The sequence below is a fragment of the Homo sapiens genome, chromosome 2 (assembly GCF_000001405.40).
Source record: "Homo sapiens chromosome 2, GRCh38.p14 Primary Assembly".
Lineage (NCBI taxonomy): Eukaryota > Metazoa > Chordata > Mammalia > Primates > Hominidae > Homo > Homo sapiens.
The window spans coordinates 213,862,702-213,875,342 of NC_000002.12; the positions used below are offsets into that span (position 1 = coordinate 213,862,702).

Sequence of the window (12,641 nt, forward strand, 5' to 3'; positions counted from 1 at the left end):
GCTGTCTTTGATGATGTTTTTCTTTCTGCAACAACACACCCTGCACTGAATTTCAAAGTGTATAGACAAATTCCCCTTTGGTTTTCAGTATATTGACTTCTGATTGTTTTTGATATTTGGTACATGTAAAACTTAGTCCACATGCTTATGCATTTAACCAAAGTAATAAGCTTCTCAGGACAAGCATTATTAAAATTCCTTGTGCTCACGAGCCCTGACAAGGCACAGAGATTTCTAGTCAATAATGCATGCCAGAATTTACCTTTGTTAATCTTTGGAGTTTTCCTTTTAGAATTAATTTATGTACCAAAAAGGATCAGATAGCTGCGATCAATTTCTCTAAAAATTCAGTGACACACAAGATATTAAAAAGAACAAAGCAATACTGAGAACACTGGGCCCTGTAATTTCTGAAATTCACTGAACCTAAATTCATTTGTACCTAAAAGACCAAGGGCACAGAAGGGAGATCATTCTTAAAGACACAGATGGAAAACTGCCCATAGTTCCTTGTGGCCCATTGCTACTGCCAATCCTGTTTTCTGCTCATCATACTTCTTGGATCTGCTTCGTTCTAAAACTCTCTGGCCTGATTACTTTTTTAACCCATAGTTCTTGGTGCTTTTCTAAACCATTCTTTTGGAAATTTTGTTCTTGGGAAGATTTCTTATGATTTATTTTCATGTTTTCACTAAACTCCTTTTTTAAATCAGTTTTTATTTTATCTTTGCTATGAATGTCTATGAAATTAGATAAAAAAATTTTATTTAAATTTAGAAATTTGTAAGTTAATGACAAGGGTAAACTAAGTTTGTTTTTAACTTTTGAAAATCTTTCCAAAATATAATTTATCTTTAGTACTAGATGTTTGACCCTACTTTATGAACATGCAGTGTATTCCGTATCCAGTATATAAATTAAACAGAGCCTTGCCACCCTCTCACCTCTTAGGAACATAAAACCCATGTTGCAAGCAGAGACAATACAATTAGAAGAATAGCCAATCGCTTATGTAGCTACTGGGCATACTAATCAGATTTTGATAATGCCCTGTTACCATGACAGCCAGTGACTCAGAGATTTTCTCATTAGTGTTTGACCAGCAATGGTCCTTTTAATAGATCTTCCTGTTTTCCCATTCAATTACTGAAATTAATATGAGGTGAGATACATCATTATTCACTCATAATATGAATTTACATTTAGCACTTTCTTACGGCAGAATTGTAGTAAAATACTGCTATACTGTTTGCTTTTTTTCAGTGCATGAGACAAATATAAGGGGAGAAAATAAATATAACCATAAGTGTTTTTAAATGAGAGATATTGAATAGCAAATGTTCTTTTTGTAGAATTAATAAAAAAGAAAAAATGATCATTAGAAACAACAACAAAAAAAGCTCTATTTTGGTTTATTTGTGGTGAAACACATTCTGAAAGAGTTTATATCTCAGACCACAAACATTTTATAATCCTTGTATGCAAACCAACACTAAATAGCAAATGAATATGAAAAAATATATATGTACCTACAGATAGTGTTGATAGATTAAAAGTTGTTGGAATTTATGTTTCCTGGAATTTAAATTTGTAATATTTGACTTTTGCTTTGGCTTATGTGATTTGGTAAGAAAAGATAGTTAATTAATGAAGATAATATATTTCCTATCTCATGGTATACTTCATCTATAATTTAAAATCAAACCTAAAATAAGTTTGATTTAAATATGATACTCTAATCTGTAGTTGATTTTTTAATGAATACAGTTATAGTCTTCAGAGTCCAGCTCTGGGCTCTGGTTGATTCTGCTTTCTTGGGAGAGGCCTAGGGTGGACACAGTATATACTAACATTTACTGTCCTCCTATGCTCTTCACACAAGACACATATACTTTTTCTTATTTTTTTCTTTCCTTTGCTTTTAACATTTCCTTTATTTTTAATTTCAGTTGCTTCTAGTTGAATATTTTCTCTAACTGTTAGCTGGATGTATTCCTGACTACAATGGTAGCTGACACTGTCAGGCACTCTATCTTCTGCAATGATGACATATCCAAATTTTGTTTGGGGGTCAATTATTCTTGACATGATTGTGGTTTACCTTGACTGACCCCAATCAATCTTCTTTGTCCTATTTCTCGTATCATAGCAGACATCTCAAGTGCCTAAATAATAAATACAATAGACATAGTAATACTCATATCAGACAAAAGAAGATTAATAGGTAAAAAAATAAACTGAGGGGATAACTAACACTTGAGAATCCAGCTAATATGATGTCGAAATATATAAAACAAAAAATCTCGTAAAACAAGATGATAGTAAAAAAATGTAATAATCAGAATCAAAGACTTCAAGGTATCTCTCTCAACTTTTAATCTGTCAAGTAAACAAAATTTGTAGTGGAATTAGAAGAATTAACATGGTAGTATAATTAACAGTATATATTTACCTCTGTACAAGGAGAGAATATAAATTTTTTGAGTTCATTTATGGTTCAATTTTCAAAAAGGCATAAATTCTTTACCCAAAATCTAGCATAAATTCCTCATAGTATAAATTATACAATCCATAATTTATGACCAAGATTCAATGATAAAAGGAAGTGATATGAAATTAATAACCATGAATGAGATTAATCACAAATTTTTAAGACACATGTAAATGAATACTGAGTCAAAGAGGAACTATAAACTTTCATTACATAGTTGGTAAACAGTTAACAACTACAACACTTACGAAGTTTATGAGATGTATCCAAAGCCGTATTCAGAGTAAAATTCATAGCTTTAAATTCTTTATCATTAAATAAGAAAAAAAGAAAATAAGTGGATTATGAATTCAAATTGAAAAAACAATGAAATAAAAAATGCAAAAGAATAAATCAATGAAAATTAGAAATTAATAATGAGAATAGAAAAAGGATGTATATTTATGTATGTTATATACCTATGAAAACTTCTGAACTTATATATATATAAAATATATAAACATTTGTATATAAATTTTTTATATATTTATATACATATAAATAATATACATATATACATGCACATATATGTGTAAATTCAGAATTTGTCTGTCCTCAAGGGGAAAAATAATGAGGAGGTACAATACATTAGATATCCTGGAAAACTGCTGAAAATATATTAATAAGTAAGAAAACAGTAATATACATAGCAACTTGGAAGGAGATAGTACTATATACACAGAAACTTATATTATATATATATACTATATATATATGTGCTTAAATTTTTTAGGAAATAATAAATCTCTGTGAAAGTAAACATTCTCAATGCTAAATCAAGATGGAAGAAAAACCTGGACTAGATTAAAAACTGTTGAAGAAACTGAGTTTTAAAGTTTTACCTTGCATGCCCATCTTTAGCAGTTTTATGAGTGAGTTTTTAGAAACTTACCAAAAAGAAAGAAAGAAAGAAAAAAAAGTGTTAGAATAAAACAGGTAATTTTTAGTTTCATTACCTAGCCCAAGGACAGAAAAAATAAAAGGGAAATTCATTACTGGTTTTAAAAATAAAGCATAAACATAATTTTAAACCTAACGGATACAGTACTCACATGGTAACAGAGACCCATTTCACTATTTTGAATGCAAAACTTTAAAAAATGATATAGAAAATGAAAGCAGTTGTATGTTTAAAAAGAGCAATATACCATGACCAAGTAAGAATTGTACTAGGAAAGCATGAAATATATAAATGATCCGACTATGAGGACATCATATAATAAATTATACTTATAGATATTGGAAGTTACTTTAAAAAGTGGCATAAATCTAGCAACTATACCTGTTAACACACGTTTGCATATATTGTTAGGTCCCATGTGTTGAAATTGATTAGGGGAATGGATTTTGGAACAGCTAAAACTCTTAATAAGATCTGCCAGGTGAATGTCAAACCTGGATGCCATGAAGCTTAATGAGTCAAAAGCAGAATGGTGCTTACAGGAAATAGTTCAAGAGGGGAACATAAAACCAACCAGGTAAAAATGTAGACAATCCCCAAAGTCAAAACAGGAGCAAGGGTCCAAGCTAACATCTGTCTATGGAAGCTTAATTACTTCTCCAGTTGGTGTTTACTCTCTTTAAATGTTGACTACATATTTTATTTTTTTCCCTTAATAATAATGACTACTTTTTGTTGAACACTAACACCGTCTAACATATTTATAACTCAAAAAATGAATGTGGAAATCCTTTAAGTTTTATACAAATATAATGCAGACTATACAAACAGAAGGCATTTAAAAATTGCAAGTCTTCAAAATACTGCATTGCCTCAAAATAATAACTATACACATAACTGATTATTTCTATCTATTGTTTACAGTGGAATTGGTTCTGTTTTTATCTAAGTTTTTAATTTCCTCAGTAGGACTTGTCTGTCCAGATCTTTTTTAAGGACATGGATAACTTTCGTCACAGTGTAACTCATCATTATTACATATTTACCACTAGATTAAGGTCATATATTGGTAAGATAAAGCACTCTTTGCATTTACTTGGTAGACTGATGGAAATGTTGGTAGCTGTTGAAAGTGATTCATCAATCATTGAAAATGGTAAATGAATGGATCAATGCAGGGAATGTGCATTAGCACTATCTTTGTACTACTGAAAGAAGAAAATGTACATTGCCAAAAAGTGGGAGCATAAACATACCCTTGTGCAAGGTAGAGGTCATACGAGTGGCTCGTTTTAGAATGCTAGCCTCACCATTGCCAGTCTTTTCAGGTTTCTCTTCTGCAAAATAGAAAGAATAATGATGCCTACTTTATAGTTTGATTGTGAAGACTAGTGTTATAATATCTGAAAAACACAAATACGGTTGCTAGGCACACATATGTTCAATAAATGTTAGCTATCATCATATTTTTCATTGATAGAAATTTTGAGAACTTAAAAAGATAGCTCGGCCGTGTTCAGTGGCTCACGCCTGTAATCCCAGCACTTTGGGAGGCCGAGGCGGGCGGATCATGAGGTCAGGAGATCAAGACCATCCTGGCTAACACGGTGAATCCCCGTCTCCACTAAAAATACAAAAAAAAATAGCCGGGCGTGGTGGCGGGCACCTGTAGTCCCAGCTACTCGGGAGGCTGAGGCAGGAGAATGGCATGAACCTGGGAGGTGGAGCGTGCAGTGAGCTGAGATCGCGCCACTGCACTCCAGCTTGGGTGACAGAGCAAGACTCTGTCTCAACAAAAAAAAAAAAAAAAAAAAAAAAGATAGCTCAAACGTTGTTATAAAACTGTCAGCCACACAGTGGGCTACGAAGGGAAGAGGCAATTGTGTTTTCTGGATTATACCAAACTCTGTTGGAAAAATGATATGCAACCATCAACATTAGTTGGTAAAATCATGTCTAAAATTCATACCCAGTAAATGATTAAGATAGTTATAAACTGAAAACCAAATTCAATTGCTTCAAAATGTATGTTATCTAACTCTTCTCAGCTCATAAAATGTAAATGTTACTTTAAAATTGTGCCAAACTCATCCTATTTTTTTTTATAAAAATGAGAATTTTTTTTTTATTTTAGATTTTAGATTATGTTTTAGAAAGAAAACAAACTTGGCCAGAAACATCAACAGAATTCCATTTTAAAATCATCTTTTTGATTTGTTTTTTTGCACAATATAAAAAATACAGTGGTTGAACTTCCTTATCCACAGGCAGGTTCTATTTTTGTCCCATTTAGACCAGCTTTGGGCAACAAAAACACAGAGTTACATAATCAATATTCAGGTTAATAATGTTATATCAGTAAAACTCATGCTACATTACTTAATAATATATTAATTGGTCTTTACCTACACCAGACGACTGCTTCATAATAGTAACATAATTTTGAATGTAAATACAATGTCCAGTTCACCAGTGCTTGGAGTTGCATTTTCTTCTGTATGACCACAGCTTATTATGTGAAACAGCATGTAACTCCTCACATATCTCTATAAGTGAAAGCAGTGGGATTAGTGGTTTAAACAATTTCACAGTGCCACATTTTATCCTGAGTTCCCTGCCTGAGGCAGAAATAGAGCTGACAGCATCCTGTTAAACAGAACTTCTACCCTTAGGAGCTGATTCATGAATTGTGAATAAATGGACCTCTCCAAAATACCTCATGTTCTCTCTTCACTGTACAGGCTACCTATTCACATATTTATGTAGTGCCTAAAACCATAGTATGAAAACCCCTTGACGAGTACATTATTTAGATTTTTAAAAATATATATACATGGGACTGGGCATGGTGGCTCACACCTGTAATCCCAGCACTTTGGGAGGCTGAGGCAGGCGGATCACCTGAGGTCAGGATTTCGAGACCAGCCTGACCAACATGGTGAAACCTCATCTCTACTAAAAATACCAAAAATTAGCCGGGTGTAGTGACAGGCACCTGTAATCCCAGCTACTCGGGAGGCTGAGACAGGAGAATCACTTGAACCCGGGAGGCGGAGGTTGCAGTGAGTTGAGATCGCGCCATTGAACTCTAGCCTGGGCAACAAGAGCTAAAGTCCATGTCAAAAAAAAAAAATATATATATATATATGTATATATATATGTATATATATATATAATATGTATACACACACACATGCAAAACTTTTTATTTGGTGTAAGCTGGAAGTTAAGAGTACAAATTTCAAATTATTTTTAATAATACAGATATTGATATACTGTCTCTCTAAAAATTATGATGTCCTCTTTCTTCCTGAGCTGCAGAAGTAGCTGTTTTCATAATCTGGAAAACATAGTAGACTTTTATTAAGACAATTTTGACATGCCTCTGTTAAGTAATAATATTCAACTTTATATTCTTTGCAGAGGTGTATATTATGCTTCTGTTCTTAATATAGTTATCACCTTTATGTGAAAGGGCTAAGCATTAAAAATAACAGCATACTGCTTTGAGTAGTTTTTTTTTTTTTTTGTCTAATTCCAAAAGTAATACAGGATCATCATAGAGAAAAGTGTTAAAAAGAAAATAAATATTTCTCACAGTCCTACAACTCAATGAAAACCACATTTTCTTTGTAAAACCAACCTTGCAAGTATTAATTTTAGCTTTATACACATTTACAAATGCCCTTATAATAATGTCCGTACGTATAGTAGTTACCTGCTTAATATTTAATCAACTAATGTTAAGGAGGGAAATTTGGAATGGAGAGGATCTTTAGACATATCTGTATTGGGGAAGGCCTGGTTTGAATGTTGATGGCAGTTACCTTTTAAACAGCAACTACCATATGTCAAGTATTGCAATTGTACGTAGCAATTATAATGCTATGTATATTTATGATGCTGCTTTCTCTTCCTCAGTTTATAGAAATACTACATCCTCTGTGTCGTTTGTATTCATAGTTAAATTGAGGCCATATAACTGATCTCTGGCCAGCGAAATGTGAATGAAAGTCACATTTTCAGCTGTTGCACATTGAAGAGCAAAGTTTACCTCCTTCAGGCTCTCTTCCCTTCTCTTCAGAACCACATAGCTTTATACAAAGACATAGCTTTATAATGGCATAAGACTGCTTGCTTTCTGTTGAAATGGGATTATAACCAAGACAAATCAAGATATCTTTGTTATATTAAGCCTTATAAGACTGGACGGCTTGTCTATTGTGGCTTGCTAGTGTTAACTATCCTCTGAATTTATGTATTATGTATTATAGATAAATTTATGTATTATAGATAAATAAATAAATTTCAAGGCACTGCCCAAGCGCTTTCCTCCACGAAGTGGCAGAATCTGGTTATACACAAGATGCGACTTTTAAAATCAGACTTATTTTCCAGTATGGGTGTGGAAGAGTATTTGCTCTGTTATTTTACTTAAACTCCCAGCACCTCAGTTGCTCATTTGAAAAGGATGGTAATATATATCAAAAGGTTTTCATGAATGTTCCACGAGAAAATATATATAAAGCATTCAGCACAGTTCTGATCTCAGAATCAGCATTTGGTAAAAATAGCATTATTATGGTTGTTGTTGTTTGGCAGAAGTAGGATTCTAACCTAGGTCTGGTTTGCTGTAAAACTAGTATTGCCTCTAAGTCTATTGGCCTGTCTCTCTTTTTGTAGAAAGAAAATAATTTTTAAAAAACCCATAGGAATGCTATAAGCTCTTTAAGGGCAAGGTCTAGATCTCACCCATCTTTGTATCCCTGGGACACAGAAGGTAAACTGAAACATTATAGAGAATGAGAAAATATTTGTTGAATTAGAATAAACAGAATTGAAGATGCGAGACCAGAAATGTAGTCACTTTCTTTCATGCTCCCAGAAGGTATTATGTAATTTTAGGGACATACTCACAAATATACACATACACAAACACACACACATACCATTCATTATTTCTGAAATCACTTTATCAGAAGAACCTACAACCTAGTATTAGTCCTGCATTGGACAAAAAATCCTAAAATACAAAATCTTCTATGAATAATATTACACCAAGAATAAATTTCAGTCAAAACCCAATAATAGAAGCACTTCCAGAATGGCAGAATAAGGACGTTCAAAAATATATTCCTTCATAAAAGCAGAGAGAATATGGGGGGAGAGGAGGGAATGTTAAAATCCACTTTTTTGGAACACAGGAACTTAACCAAAGGCTTACATCAACTCAAGGAGCACTTATTCAAGAAAAATTGCTGAAACTTACTAAGAAGAGTGAACTCTTTTATGTTTTAACTTTCTCCAGTCCTAAATAGAAAAGCTGGAGAGTGAAATGTCCAAAGGGGATTTGAAGCACACTGACATATTTCTAAGACTATGGAAGGACACATACATGCAAGCGGAGGGCTGTGCACATGCATAGGAAAGACTTGAGAAGGGTCTAATCTCTTGCATCTGGTTGACCTCAAGGACTTGCACAAGCAGGAGGTAAAGGCTAAGGCTAAGTTGTAAACTTCCAGAATGTTAAAGATGTGTCCTAACATGCACACAGAGACACTTGCCAAAGATTGGGTGACTTACTGGTTCAAAGCATTTAATGACCAGTTGACCAATCATTATTTGGCTATTAAGCTAATCTAGAAGAAACTTCTGTGACCACACCAAACATGGAATACAGACTTTACTGAATTACCTCAGGAAATTCACACACACACACACACACACACACACACACACACACACACAGAGAGAGAGAGAGAGAGAGCAAACAGCAGTAAAAACAAACCTTAGAAGGAAGCCTGATTTTCAGAAATTTCAAATTATTTAAAATGTCAGGTTTTAAACAATGTCAAAAAATAGAAAACATGAAAAGGATCAGGACAAAGAACAAAACTTATGAATATGTCATGTTATATGACAAAGTGCCATTAAAGTTGCAGGTGTGATGGAAATCTGTAATCAGCTGACTTTAAGATAAGGAGATTATCTTTGATTATCTAGGTTGACCCACTGTAATCACAAAGTTCCCTTAAGTGTGGAAGATGAAGGCAGAATGGTCAGAGTAAGAGTGATGTGACATGAAAAAGGGATTCTCCCCTAGAGAGACAAGAGAGAACCAGCTCTTATAACACCTTGACTTCAATCCAATGAAACTTATTTTGTACTTATGGCCTCCAGAACTGTAAGAGAGTAACTTCATGTTATGTTATCCACTAAGTTTGTGGTAATTTGTCACAGCACAAAAAGAAAACAAATACACTATTCTTCCACAACTATAGTTGAGTTTTCTATACTAACCTCCTGTCAATATACAACTTTGATGAGCTCATTTATTAATTTAAAAAATTTTAGTATATTTTTTAGACTTCTCTATATACAAGATCATATCATCTCTGAAGAGAGATCATTTTACTTTTTCCTTTCTCATCTAGATACCTTTGATTGTTTTTTTGTTATCAAATTGCTCTGGCTCGAACCTCCAGTGCAATGTTGAAAAGAAGTGACAAATGAAGACATCCTTGTCTTATTTTTGATTTTAGGTAAAACGTGATCAGTCTTTCACCGTTAAGTATGATGTTAGTTGTGGGATTTTTGTAGATGCTTTTATTAGGTTGAAGAAGTTTATTTCTATTTCTAGTCGAATATGTTGATCATGAGAGGATGTTGGATTTTGTTAAATGCTGCTTCTGCATCTGTTGAAATGATCATTTGGTTTTTATCTTTTATTCTATCAGTGTGGCCTATTACATTGATTTTTGTATGTTGAACCAACCTTGCATTCCTGAAATAAATGCTAGTTGCTTATGATATACAGTCATTTATATATGTTGCTGGATTTGGTGTATTAGTATTTTCTTGATGACATTTTTATCTGTATTAATAAGAGACATGGGTGATGCCTTTTTCAGGTTTTGGTATTAGAACAATACTGGCCTCACAGAATAAGTTAGGCAGTGTTCCCTCCTGTCCTATTTTTTGGAAGAATTTGTGAAGTAGTAGTGTTAATTCTTCTTAAATATTTGGGAAAATTCATCAGTGAAGCCATCTGGTCTTGGGCTTTTCTTTGTGGAAAGGTTTTGATTACTGATTCAAGTACAAGAATTTGTCTACTCTATCCAGGTTATCTAATTTGCTGCCATTTTTTTCTCATATTTGTTGCCATGTTGTTAACAATTTCCCTTATAAATCCTTTATAATTCTGTAAATCTGGTAATGATGCCTTTATATAATTATTGATTTTAATAATTTGAGTCCTCTCTATTTTTTTGTTGCTCAGTAGAGCTAAAGTCAATTTTGTTGCTCTTTTCAAAAAATCAACTTTTATTGTTGAATTTTCTATATATTTTTAAATTCTTTTATTTATTTACATTCAATATTATTTTCTTCTGCTTGATTTGGATTTATTTTTCTCTTCTTTTTCTACTTGCTTAAGATAGAAGGTTTGGTTATGATTTGAGATATTTGTTCTTTTTAAATGTACCATTTACATCTGTGAATTTTCTTTCAAGCAATGCTAGAATTATCCTATAAGTTTTCATATGTTGTGTTTTTGTTTTCATTCATATCAAAATATTTTCAGATTTCCCTTATAATTTCTTTTTTGGCCGATTGGCTATTTTAAAGTGTGCTGTTCCATTTCCATATATATGTCATGTGCTGCTTAATGGTGAGGATACATTTGATAAATGCATCATTAGGCAATTTCATCACTATGCAAACATTGGAGCGTGTACTTACACAAACCTAGATGGTATAGCCTACTGCTCTTCCAGGCTATATACCATAGACTATACAGACTATAGCATATTGCCATTGCTATTGCTCCTATATAACAAACTTATATAGTTACTGTACTGAATACCATATACAATTGTAATATAACAATATTTTATATAGAAACACAGAAAGATATAGTAAAAATACAGTATAAAAGATAAAAAGTGGTATACTTGTTTAGGGCATTTACCATGAATGGAGCTTTCAGGAATGGAAGCTGCTCTGGGTAAGTCAGTGAGTGAGTGGTGAGTGAATGAGAAGGCCTAGGACATTACTCTACACTACTGTAGACTATAAACACTGTACACTTAGGCTATACTGAATTTGTTTTAAAATCATTTTTCTTCAATAATAAATCAACCTTAGCTTACGTAACCTTTTACTTTATAAACTATTTAATTTTTTAACTTTTTGATTATTTTGTTAACAGTTTGAAACACAAACTGTACAGCTGTACAAAAATATTTTGTGCTTTTTCTATAAATTTTTCTCTATTTTTTATTTTCAAACTTTTTGTTAAACACAAAGACACACACATTAGCCTAGGCCTACACAGGGTCAGGATCATTAATATCACTTTGGCCCACTTCCACATTTTGTCCCACTGGAAGTTCTTCAGGGGCATAATAATATGTAATATACCCTTAAACAACTAGCAGTGCAGTAGATTTGTTTACAATAACATCACCACAAACACATGAGTAATGTGTAGCCATATGGCATTATGAAGGTTATCATGTCACTAGGCCATAGGAATTTTTCAGCTCCATTATAATCTTATGAAACCATATCATATATGCAGTCCATCACTGACTGCAATGACTTTATATGGCACATGACTGTGCCTTATTCCATTGGCCAAAGCTCAGAGGGAGGGATTGTGGGGACTATGAAGCTACAGGGTTAAGGGCTTGGATGCAGGAAGAAGTGGAGAATTAGGACCATTTTTGAACTCTGTCATTTATATGCATGGGATGACCATACATCTAGGTTTGCCCAGAAAAGTCCCAGTTTATTCCTGTCATCCTTATAGAAATATTATTTTTTAAGAAAGAGAATCTTGCTCTGTTGCCCTGGTTGGAGTGCAGTGGTGCATCATAGCTCACTGCAGCCTAGAACTCCTGGGCTGAAGCAATTTTCCTGCCTTACTCTCCATACGACCTGGGACTACAGGCACATACTACCACATCAAACTAATTTTTTTTTTTTTTGAGACAGGGTCTCACTTTATTGCCCACGCTGGTCTCAAACTCCTGGCCTCATGGGATCCTCCCACTTTGAATCACCCCCTTGTTACTCTAAAAAGTGTCCCAATTTTAATGATAAATTATATGGGAACTCTACATTTGGAGGGTTTTAAATAGAATGGATGCACTCATTGAAAAAATCTGTGAAGTAAGCAGAAGAATTAAGATAAGTTTAGAGTCCATC

At 33.2% G+C, this 12,641-nt stretch overlaps 1 protein-coding gene across 16 annotated transcripts in view; it reads left to right on the top strand.

The window, feature by feature from the left end:
* Nucleotides 1-12,641, top strand: part of SPAG16 (sperm associated antigen 16) — a 1,126,038-nt gene that overhangs the window by 578,238 nt on the left and 535,159 nt on the right. The gene's annotated exons all lie outside the window — the stretch shown is intronic.